Genomic DNA, 12880 nt, shown 5'->3' with positions numbered 1-12880 from the left:
ATTGATCTTCTCTTTCCCTCAGACTAGAACTCCCATCATTGGTTCTTCTGGTTCTCAGGCCTTCAGACTTGAACTGGAAGTATAGCTCTGTGTCTTTCCCATGGCTCCAGCTTGCAGACAGCAGATCATAGGATTTAGTCGTCATAATTGCATGAGCCAGTTCCTCATAATAATCTATCTATCTATCTATCTATCTATCTATCTATCTATCTATCTATCTATCTGTCTATCTATCTAATCATCTATCATCTATCTATTCTATTGGTTGTGTTTCTCTGGAGAACCCTGACTAATACAGTACCCTTAAGCAAGGAGCTAAACATGTACCTGGCTCAGTATCTAAAGAAGTTGATGGAAGAGATCCAGTGGATCTGGGGAGAGCTGCAGGACCAGTTATTGCCTTGCCATTAGGATGAGCCATCAGATCATAGTATGTGTGAGCTGCAACGGTGCTTCATGCCTTGCTTTGACCTGAGCATAAAAAGAATGCGGTTGCTACTCTACTTCCCTTTTCTAAATCTCATGCAAAACATTTTTGGTAGCCCACACTAGCTTGGATCTATGTAGGAAAGGGAATTCTTAGAAATGTTGTTCCAGCTTAACTAAGTTGGCTCAATACAAATTCATCACAAACATAACCACCATGAATTATAACATTGGCAGGATTGTCTCATGTTTGTTGGTGAAGCAGAATGTTTTCTTACCTTTTCTTATGTGTTATCTTTGTTTCCTTCTTCCCACATGTGGCAGCCAGATAGGTGCACTGTTTGGTTCATCCTTTAAGAAAAATTGCCATTCAGCTGTGAGAAGGACAGTCAAATGACAGTTTCTAACTGCAGCATCTTTGAGATCTACTGCAACTTTTAAGTAGAGACCACTTTCTTCCGAGGCAACCCCCATCCAATGACTGAGGACAGAAGTTACTAGGGCCTGGTCTTTTCTACCCAGCTGAGACTTGGTGATGGTGTTTGTTTACCAGAGCTGTGTATTAGTCTGTTCTCACACACTAATAAAGACATGTCAGAGACTGGGTAATTTATAAAGGGAAGAGGTTTAATTGACTCATAGTTCTGCAGGGCTGGGGAGGCCTCAGGAAACTTACAATCATGGCAGAAGAGGAAGCAAACATGTCCTTCTTCACAGGGCAGCAACAAGGAGAAGTGCTGAGCAAAAGGGGGGAAAGCCCCTTATAAAACCATCGCTATCTTGAGAACAGCATGAGAGTAACTGCCCCCGTGATTAAATTACCTCCCACTGGGTCCCTCCCATGACACGTGGGGATTATGGGAATTACAAATCAAGATGAGATTTGGGTGGGGACACAGCCAAATTATATCAGGCTGCCATAATAAATACCACAGGCTGCCAGGCTGTTGGCATAATTCCCTCTTCTTTTGGAGACGCCAATCTTTTTCTCTTAAAGCTTTCAGCTGATGGGATGCAGCTCACCTACATTATGAAGAACAATCTGCTTTACTCTCAAAGTCTGCTGATTTAAGTGTTAATCTCATTTTAAAAATACATTCACAGAAATATCTAGAAAAATGTTTAACCAAATACCTAGATACGATAGGCTAACTAAGTTGACACATAAAATCAATTATCACAGTGATATTTGCTTCAGAGCTCCTCATGGGATTGGCTGAGACTGTCATATTTGCATAGCAGTCTGGGGGTCTCCCTGAACAGTTTTGGTTCAGGGTTTGGCCTAAATTGAACATTGAAAAAGAAGCTGGAGTCTGCAAGGTAAATAAGGTTGGGAGAAATCATTCTAGTCAAAAACAAAACAAAACAAAACACACACACACACACAAAACAAAAAAACAAAAAAAAATCTCTATTTTTCCTGGCATGGAGTCTGACAGGAAATGGAAAGTAACTTGGTAAAAGAGATCAGATAATAAAATACTTCGCAAATTACCTAATATGCCAGCTTTTTTGGCTTTTACAGAAACTAGTTAATGATAGCAGTGCTAAATACTATTAAAAGCTCTATAGTTGCATGTTTAACTTATACACCTTGTATAGGAATTATATCTTCTATTGCTTTTATTGCTGTTTTGATTGCTAAGAACATTACATTTTTTGTTTTTTAAAGAAAACTAACTTTCTTACAAGAATGACTTTCACCCAAGGCAATTCCCACAAGAAACTGCCAATAGGGAAAAGAAGGATAGTAGCATGAAGCAGGGAGAAGATTATCAGAGGTAGTTAATTATATGAACTTTATAGTGTACACATGATCCTCAGTACAGAAAGGGGACACACTAAGACCTCCTATACATAATGGAATATTGAGTGTTATTCAGAAAAATCTCATGTTTGTGGTTCAATTTTTATAGTCTATGAACCTGAGGAGTATGTTTCTAAAAAGAGAAAATAGTATATAGCATACCACATTGATACACTGTCAGTCTCTGAACTTCAGCTCCCTCCTTCTTTTCTCCCTTCCTTCATTCCATAAGCATTTACCAAGTACTAACAATGTGCCAGGCACAGCCTGTAGCCCAGAATAGGAAAGGGAGAAATAAAGGAATGAATAAGAAAACATGAAGAGGTATTCCTCTTTTAGTTATACAAGTGACTAAACCTGAAGGAATATAGAAATCTATAGAAAATCTGGTCTACAATTCTAAAACAAATATAACTATCAATGAAATGGTAATGTATATATATAAGTTTGCTAACTGAAAAGTAACTCTTAAAGATTTGGAATCTTCATGTACACACTTTCTGGAGAATTTAACGAGTTTTACATATACAGAAATAAAATTTCAAGGAAAGTTCATATGTGATATATTCTAGCTAAATTGTCAGAATGTGGACAGTTGTCTTAGTGCTGACATCATCATTGTCGCTTTGTCTTTAGTAATCATCATTCTTTTATCCCGTATGAAATAGATATTGTTGCTTCATTAAATGAGTACAAATAAAATTTATTCCGGATATGTCCAACTATGAGGCAGAATAATGTCATTCTTAGTCATTTAACTCAGGTTCATCAATAGATAGATAGATATGTTGTTTTTGTTTTTTCTTTAGATTCAAGTATCACTTTGTAATAATAGCATTTCATTTAGTAAGTCACAAAATTGTCAACGAGGCTCGCCAACTTAATTATTCATGTGGGATAGTATTTATGACTACATAACAAATATTTATTATCTCACAGTTTCTATGGGTCAGGAATCTGGGCAAGGCTTGGCTGTGTGCCTCTGATTCAGGGGTCCCTCAAAAGGCTGCAGTCAAGTTCTTGGTCAGGGCTGCAGTCAGATCAAGGCTATGTTGGGCTTCCAAATTTACTCACAAGGCTGTTAGCTGATGACATTAGTTATTTGCCACCTCAGCCTGTCACATCATGGCAAACTTTTCTTTCTTTGCAAATTTCTTGCTTTCCCCAGAGTGAGAAGATTGAGAGAGAAAGACAGAAAATAACAGTCTTTTTGTAACCTAATTCTCAGGAGTGATATCCCGTCACTTTTGCCATCTTCTATTTATTAGAAGGGGGTTGTTAGGCCCAGTCCACACTCACGGAGAGATTGCATGGGCTGTAAATACCTGGAGGCTGGCCTCATGGGGGGCACTTTACAGGCTGCCTACCAAGTATCATAAAGCCAGTTTGCTTTACTTTTTATGTTTTCGAATGGTAAGGTCAGAATGCATTATTTCATGATTGTGATAATGGCTTTTTAAATTGGGTCTTATGTTCCAACAGCACTGATAAACATTTCTGCATGAGCCCTAGCCCTGGGAATGTGGGTTGTTAGCTTTTAGAGATAGGGGATGGTGAATCATGCTATTTCTCACAGTTTGTCCTTCCCTTCCTACTCTTGTCATGTTCACTGTGGGAAAAGTATATGATGCCATCTCCCTAACTTTAGGTTTGGTCATGTGACTTGCTTTGACCAATGGGACTTGGGGGGAAGGAACAGTCTTCCAGTTTTGAGCAGAAGTTTTAAAAGGCATGCTGTGTTCCCACTTATCCCCTTGTATCCCTGCCTTTCAGCATGAAAAACACAGAATGAGAGACACAGAGCACAGATCTCAACCAGAGCCAAGCCTAAGCCAGATATGTCACATTTATGCTGCATATCTCAAGGCAGAAATATCTATTTATTGTTGTAAGCCTCGGAGGTTTGGAGGAATGCTTCACTGCTGCAGCAAAAGTTGACTGGTGAAAATGGAGACAGCAGGTATGATAGAGAAAGTGAACCTCCCAAAGAGTGTCTACTACTTCCACTGTTCTGTTTCTAGATCCCACCGAGACTGATTAAAGCCCAGTCCCCATAGGTATTTGTATTGGATGATGCTGTGTTTCAAGAGGTTCAGTCCCCACAGCTTGCTGTATAACTTTGGCACAATCCTCAGGGCCCTCAGTAAAGACTTATAAACTGTAAAAATATACATATTTTTAAATCAGTGATTTCAAGGTATCGTGTTTAAAACTGGGCAAATGTTCAGTTTTCTCAAATTTTAGATATTATATTTTGCCGCTCTTAAAAACTTTTCTATTTGGTTTGTTTTGTGATCTAGATATTGTCATTGAATCCAAATAGTGAAAGAGGAAACTTTTAAAATGAAATAATATGCATGCTGGCTATTATTAACTCAGCAGGGTAGCTGTTTACATAGTCAAGTAATTGTGCTATATCCTTGAACACAGAGGGAAAGACATGAAAGGGATTGGGTAAACAACATGTTGCCTCTAAAGATCTCTGGGAACACTGGTGTAAATCAAGCAATTATAGTCCCTATCTGAAAAACAAACGTTGAAGAGATTAGGAGACACTCATTCTTGTGGTTAATTTTTAAAACATTTTTTGTTTCATTTGTTTGTTTCTTGACTCCTTGCCTGCATAAGTGAAGAAAAGCCAAGGGGTGCAAAATTGTTTAGTACCAGATCAGAAATCATCTTGAATAGCGTGTAGGGTTATCCAGTTATATCTTGCATGCGCGTATGTGTATGTGTAGTCTAAACCTGCATTATCCAGAGTGATTGCCAGGGCTTCCAAATTCATTTATTGATAGCTCAGCTTTCTGTTCTGTAACCTAATAGTCTAATAGCTATATAATATATAATTCAGGGACCAAAAAAGGTGATATATTCAAAATTACATTAGGAAAAATAATTGTTCACCTGATAAATTAAAACCTTAGGTTAGATTATCATTGAATCATGTAACAGATCAATTTCCACATAATTTTCTAAAGTTGTGATGCTCTGTGAATCTGCCCTCCCCTAATGACTTCAATTATTTCCTGTAAAATGTTTTATTTTAGTATTAAAAGAATAATTTGGACCAATACAGTTAATTTAATCTTCCATTCCTTTCCCTGTTCCTTCTCTGCCCCTTCTATTTCCTTTCTGCCCCACTGTTATCATCCTACTTACAATCTAGTGCCTGAACTACAGCATAGGTTTCCAGCCAGCCTTGCCTTTCTCAGGCTCATTTCCCTTCAGTTCATTTCCTAGTGAGATACCACATCACCCCAAGAACTTCAAAATGAGGACACTCTTGCCCAATATAAAAAAGTCATGCTCACACTTCATGAGTAGGAACAGAGACAGACATCATGGGTTAAAAGCAGGATTGCTCCAAGGCCTGCGGGAAGCCTCTCCTCTGGAACCTCTTAGAATACATTAAATTATCCAAAGAAAGACGAAATATGGAACAAGGTCGTGTCAAACTGACAAGGGCTGGTCATCTCTAGAGGTTCAAAAGGGAGAGTTCCAGAGGCCATTGATTAATGGCCCTTCCAAGACTTATCTTCGGACCAATTCAAAATGATAGTTCTGTGGGGAGCTCTTGAAAACTACCTAGCTCATAACAATACCTGATCTCTACCTGAAGAGATTCTGATTTAATTCACCTGGGGTGGCACCTAGCGTTGGTATTTTTAAAATACTCTCCAGGAGATTCTAATCCAGGCTGAGAATCTCTGGTAAACTCTAAATTCCTATTGTAAAACAGGCCAGCAGGCTATCTCAGTTCCAGGTCTGCCAGTAATTCCAAAGCCAAGGAACAATTCATCCTCATTCCATGTTGACTGGGCAATCCCCTGATTTCCCTGAGCCTGGCTATAGAAAGAGTTTACATCCATGAGAGAAACTAAGCTTGAGTCCTTATGATGGTTCTCTTGTACATTCTAAAAGAGCTTCTTGTCACGATTTTCCATTCTATTCCTAGAAAGAATACGTTATTAACAGAATTTCCAGTTTATGTGACAGTGATGTTTCTCACAGTAAATAAGTAAATTGGAATTTCTGTGTTTATTTTGATCTCCTGTGAGTTTCAGTTGTCATTTTTTTGCCTTTCACTCCTTAATGGAAACAAGGTCTTTGCCAGGAGCCTTCAAAGTAGAAAATTCAGAAAGTAGAAGATTCAGTGACTTTCCTTAGAGATTCTGCTGTACTACTGTCATCTGCTCCCAGTGTCTGTACCTTGCAACTAAATGAAATCTTTCTTTTTTTTTTTTGAGACAGAGTCTTGCTCTGTCAGCCAGGCTGGAGTGCAGTGGCACAATCCCAGCTCACTGCAACCTCTGCCTCCCAGGTTCAAATGATTCTCCTGCCTCAGCCTCCTAAGTAGTTGGGATTACAGGCACTAGCCACCACATCCGGCTAATTTTTGTATTTTTAGTAGAGACAGAGTTTCACCATGTTGGCCAGGCTGGCCACGAACTCCTGACCTCAAGTGATCCGCCCACGTTGGCCTCCCAAAGTGCTGGGATTACAGGCGTGAATCATCGTGCCCAGCCTAAATGAAATCCTTCTAAAGTGAAGTTCAGATCACATTACAATTCTTCACAAAAACTTCCAGGACTTCCTTACTACCTTCTGTTTCAATCTGCCTTTCCTCTCTCAGTGCTTCCATTAAGAACTCAACTTTATGCCACAGGCAAACTGATGCATATAAACTTCATTTTCCTGCCTCTTAATTTTAAGTTTAAACTGGTCCCTTCATTGTTCACCTCCACCACCTCTAGCCTAGAACCTGGCACACAGTAGATGGTAAGTTTGTATTTGCCAGCTGGATGTTGAATGAATTCAATTTCAATTCAATGAATTTTATTAAGCTCCTGTAATGTGCCAGGCACTGTTCTAGATGCTTGAGAGAACAGTGAATAAAGAAGAAAAAGATCCCTTCCCTTATGGAGTTCAGATTCTAGCAGAGAGAGACAGGTGATAAAGATGATAAATCAATGGTATAGGATGTTAGAAAGTCATATGTGCTGTAGAAAAATGAAAAAGAAAAGCAGGAAACCTGAAGTGCACAATTTGCAGTATTAAATAAGGTGGTCAGGGTGAGTCCCATTGCAATGGTGGTATTTGAGCAAAGACTTGAAGGAGCTGAGGGAGTCAGTCATGTGGACATCTGGAAGGAGAGTGTTCCATGTGGAGGAACAGCCAGTGCAAAGCCCTGAGATAAGAGCATTCCTCGTGTTTGGGAGAAATAGCAGCAGACAGAGTGCCTACAGCAGAGTGGGCGAGGAAGAGAATAATAGGAGGGGAGGTCATATCATCTGGGGCCATTCTGGATGTTTGTAAGGACTTTGGCTTTTATATGGAGTGAAAAGGGAAGTAATTTCAGGACTCTGAAAGAAAAATGACAAGATCTGACTTATGTTTTAAAAGAATTACTCTGGCAGCTTGGTTGATACTAGAGTCCAAAGGAGAGGGTCAAAGGTATAAGTACAGAAAACAGTTAAAAGGTAGGGGAATCTGACAGGACCAATGTATGTGGACCAGAGTGGTAGCAGAGGAGATGCTGAGAAGTAGTCAAATTTTGCTTTTTTTTTTTTTTGAGATGGAGTCTTGCTCTGTCATGCAGACTGGAGTGCAGTGGTGTGATCTGATGGTTCACTGCAACCTCTGCCTCCTGAGTTCTAGAGATTCTCCTGCCTACAGGCGTGTGCCTCCACACCTGGCTAGTTTTTGTATTTTTAGTAGAGACGGGGTTTCACCATGTTAGCCAGGCTGGTCTCAAACTCCTGACCTCAGGCAATCCGCCTGCCTCGGCCTCCCAGAGTGCTGGGATTACAGGCATGAGCCACCACTCCTGGTCAAATTTTGCATTTTTAAAAGAGCCAATAAAATTTTCTGACAGATTGCATATAGGATGTGAGAGAAAGAGGGGAACCACAGGTGACTCCAAGGTTTTTATCATGAGCACGTGGAACAGAAGAGTTGATATAAACTGAGAAGGGAAAGTTGTGCATTGATGGTTTTGGGGGAAGTGGGAATCAGGAGTTCAGTTTTGGACATGTTGATTAAAAGATATTTATTAGACATTCAAGTGGTGATGTGAAGAACCCAGTTGGACATATGAATTTTAAGTTCAGAAAAGAGGTCTGAGTTGGAGATAAATTTGGGAGTCATCAAAAAAAGCATGAACATAGTATTTAGAGTAATAAACCTAGATGAGATCATCAAGGGGATAAGGAAAGAAGAGGACCAATGACCAAGTTCTGGGACACTCTCACATAAAGAAATCTAAGAGAAGAGAATGAACCAATAAAGGATATAAAAACAGACCAGAATGAGAGAGGAGGAAACCCAAGAGACTGCATTGCCCTGGAAGCCAGAGGAAGACAGTATTTCAAGGGAGAATGATAGATTGTGACAAAAGCTGCTAATAGGTCAGATAAGGACTGAGAACTGGCCATTAGATTTAGTAACTGGTCATTAGTGAGCTTTATGGAAACGGTTTTGGAGGACTGGTGGTGGTAAGAGCCTATTTAGAGTAAAGAGAAAATGGAAGGAGATGAATTTGAGAATGAATGAATGCATGAAGACCCATGACCTTTATCTCATTCTACCTTTTGTTATTATGTTTTCATTTTATCTCTTTTTCTAGATTATAAACCCCTTGAAAAAAGAAAGAAGCTGTGTCTATGACAACTACATAGCTGCTACGGAACCTGGCACAGTGCTAGCACACAGCAGGGGATCAATAAATGTTGCTTGACTGACTAACAAAAAAGTGAACATTAAATGAAGACAGTCAGGTGAAATTAAATTCCTCCTTATCCTTTTGGTGTTCGTTCTTATTCTTTATAATTCTATTCTCCCCACCCAGGCTCCCAGGTACTCTGAATCCTCTTGCTACCTTTTCTCTGCTCCAGCCTTTCCCTTCCCCTCTTCCTATCTCACTTCCCCTCTTCCTATCTCACCTCCCCTCTTCCTATCTCACCTGCTTGACAGTTTACCCACATGAGCCTATTCCTTCAGGAAGGTGATGGGAGTAAGAACAGAACAGCTAATCTTGTAAAAGAACTCCAACTCAGGAAACCATCATTTGATGACAACTTCTATTGAGTAACATCCACCTTAGAGAGGTACCTATTCTGATGCTGGGTAGTAAAGGCCAGTAGAAGCCAGATCTCACAATACAGTGAAAAGAATTTGAAATATGAAAGTGTGTTGTTTTCCTTCATTGAATCTGAATTACATCCAACAGTGAATATTAATCCACTGTTTCTAATAGAATAAGAAAACAGTCTAAAATAAATGAAAGTACCACAGAGCTGTTCTTAATTGCCTTCTCATAGTATTAGCTTTTAAAGTTGTAAAATAGTATTATTTTTTTTTCAAATGAAGCATGGACTTGTCTGTCTAATTATTTAATGTATTTTCTTCAAATTAGTTTCTGTAATGGGTTAATTTTAGGCTGTCATATATTCTTAAGTTAATTTTGGAGTATAGGATTCGAATTGTTAAATTTTATTCATTCATTTATTTAAGAAATATGTATATATGTTAGACACTGTGGTCTTAAACATAATAACAAAAATACATTTAAAGCAAAGAACAGATAAGGTCACTTTGTTGCCTATTGGGATAGATAGGTTAAAACTACATTTCCTCTTATTTCTTTTCTAACCTCTCCTTTGCAATTAAGAATTTTAACTATGATACTCAAACATTTATACAAATATATTTTAGTAATTTAGCTCTCAAATAGGAGCAACATGTTATTTCAAATGAGAACATTAAGGTACAAAGAAGGAAACTGACTTAGTTTATGTTATTTGACAACCAATGTGCAGGCAACAGAATTATCCAGGCATAAAGTCTGAAAGCAGCTTGATAAATACTTTCCACCAGGATGAAGGCAAGATCTGTATAAATTCAATCAAGCAAATTATTTCCACAGGGAGAATGCACACAGGAAGGGTACTGGGAACATTTTTGTCATCCAGGTATCTTATTTTTCCAGACAATTAGCAAAAAAAGGACAACATAATTTTTTTCTCTTGTTCTACAAAGGCTGCCCAGAAGCCAAAGATAAGCATTTGGGGTGACTGACAGGTTTCAGTAAGGAGAATGGAGCTATGATCTGTAAACAATATGGTCATCAAAGAATAAGAGTGTATACATTATATATTTGTTAATTTTGAATCAAAGGTAACTGGAAAAAAATGAAGAAGTGAATCATAGGTACTGAGTTTATTCAGGAAACAAAAGGATAATCAGCTCAGCAAAGTATAATAGTCACTGTTCAGCTCATCCCCGAAACTCCATGTGGTCCAGGCTAAGCGGCACCAGCTGTAGCAATTCAAGCTCGCTCTTGTATTATTCAGGCAATTTTGCAATAAGATAAAGAGTTAAAATAAGCTAGCCTTTTCCATTTCCCTTTGTACCCCTTCCCCCACAATCAAGCTATCAGAACAGCAAAATAAAACCAAAACAGTCTCTATAAGAACACTTTATGAGTTTCCTCTCTGTCATTATTCTCTTTTGGCTGAGCAATCTTTTTTTTTTTTTTTTTTTTTTTTTTTTTTTATTGACAACAGAGTATTTATCTTCCTTGCAATTCCTGTATTCATGGTCTTATGCCATCCACTGTGGTAATAATTTAGCTGGATAAAAGGTACAAACAAGGTCCCTTTGGAAAGCCAGTTTGTAATTTTTGTGTTTTAAGCTTTATCCTCATCCCCTAAATTCATTTCAGATAGATTAAAAATTGACTAATAGAATACTAAAGCTTAGAATTCAGAATAAAATATAATTTAACAGCTTGCAGACTATGAAAAGATATTTTTATAAATTACAAGCTTAGGAACAATAGACAAAATAATAATGTAATGTACTGACAGATTTGAATGCCTACAAATAATAACATTTGCACATAGAAACAAAAAAGAGTTAAAGTCTCTATTTTATAGAGAGCTCCTGGAGGAGAATCCTTTCACCGCGGCATCACCAGATCTTTTATTATTGTTCTTATCGTATATAAAGACCTTTTCTAATGCACTTTACAAGAAAATCCTCAGTACCAACCAAAATAAGTGAATAAATTTTAAATCAAAATAAATTACAGAAGATCAAATAAATGAGAAAAAAATGTTAAACTTTAAATAGCTAATGGGCAAATGCCATAGTCAATTCTCATGAGCAAAAAGCCAATTACTTAGTAAACATGGGAAAATACTTCAATCTCATTAGAGAACAAAGAAAGGCAAATTAACCAGTGAGGTGCACTTTTTCTTTCTACTGAATTAGTAAAATATATGATTATACAAATGGCTGGCAAGAATACAAAATAGTGGATATTATGGTACATTCTAGTGACTGTACAAATTACTTCAATATTTTTGAACCCTATGATGGCACTATGGACAGAAAAGCTAGAAAAATGTCCTGTGTCTGCTTTCTGCCAAGATGACAGACTAGCCTGGGTTGTAGACTCCTACCCTAACTGCAATGCTGAAGTAACTGTAAATGTTACAGGGAGGTATGGATTCCAGAAACCAGTCCCAATAAGCATCAGCGAAAAATCTCTGGGAAGATTAAATCTGTCCTAAACATTATGAGGGGTTGGTTGGTGCAGCCTGGTGTGGAGAGCGGCTGTCTTTGGCGAAGAGAGGATAGGTAGAAGAAAGTTTTATAAATTCTGCAATTGTCTCTGTTTTGGTTTGTCTTCGAACAATCATTGTCTGCCCTTTCACCTCTGACATTAGAGCCCTGAAGGCAAAATCAGAGAAGCATTAAAGTCTTGCTGGGGAAGGGTGTTCATGAAAACAGACCAGTGTCAGTCTTTCAGTCTTACTCTTTGAAACCCTTAGGCCTAGGATTTCAACCTAGTCTATTCCAAATGCTACTCTTCCCTAAGGGTCAAAGGGAAAGACTGGGAGTAGCAGCAAGAGATTAGCAGTGGTTCTTTTGTGTCCGAGGCTCTGCATCCTTGACTCATCTTCTCTATTATCCTTAAACACACCTGGACTGACATAGACTTTGGGTGTTCTCTGGTGCATATTACTGGAGAGAATAGCTGATACCTTCAGGGGAACATAAGCTCAAAGGCCAAAATAACTAACAGCTAAATAATTCGACTGTCTCAAAAAAAAAAAAAAAATCCTGTAAACTGAACAATAGTTATCATCTGAGTTAGAAATATTAAAACAGAAATCTTGAGAATTTAATATAGTATGGGATAGATACAGAGATAGATTGCTAAGGAGCAAGATACTGAAGTAAAAAATCAGAAGAACTCTTCCAGAAAGCAACAAGAAATGATAAAAAATAAAACAGAAAAGGAGACTGAGCCGTTTAGAAGGGCAGGGCCAACATTCAGAAAATGGGAGACCCCAAAGGAGAAAACAATAAAGATGAAGAGGAGAAATATTTAAGAAATAATTTTGGATAAAGCTTTTAAAAAGATGAAAGACTTCAGATGGAAAAGAGAAATAAAGAAATACCCAGAGATGATAATGAAGTTTAAGAATATCAAAGACAAAAACTATAAAAGCAAAGAATAGATCAACAGAAAGGAATAAAAATAACACATCAGATTTTTAAAATAAGCAACATGAGATAAAAAATGGCAATAAAGTAATATTTTTATGACAGTAAAAAAATTTCAAAACTAGAATGTTA

The 12880-nt window shown here is 37.9% G+C and overlaps 1 long non-coding RNA gene across 1 annotated transcript; it reads left to right on the top strand.

Annotated features, from left to right (window-relative positions):
- Positions 1-3984: 3984 nt before the first annotated feature.
- LOC124900984 (uncharacterized) lies at positions 3985-9037 on the top strand. The gene is made up of 2 exons (XR_007058785.1): positions 3985-4193; positions 8859-9037. It is a non-coding gene; the product is annotated as an uncharacterized LOC124900984 (long non-coding RNA).
- The last annotated feature ends 3843 nt before the right edge of the window (positions 9038-12880 follow it).

This window comes from Homo sapiens, chromosome 5 (assembly GCF_000001405.40).
Source record: "Homo sapiens chromosome 5, GRCh38.p14 Primary Assembly".
Taxonomy (NCBI): Eukaryota; Metazoa; Chordata; class Mammalia; order Primates; family Hominidae; genus Homo; species Homo sapiens.
This window is presented reverse-complemented; position numbering and strand designations above follow the sequence as displayed.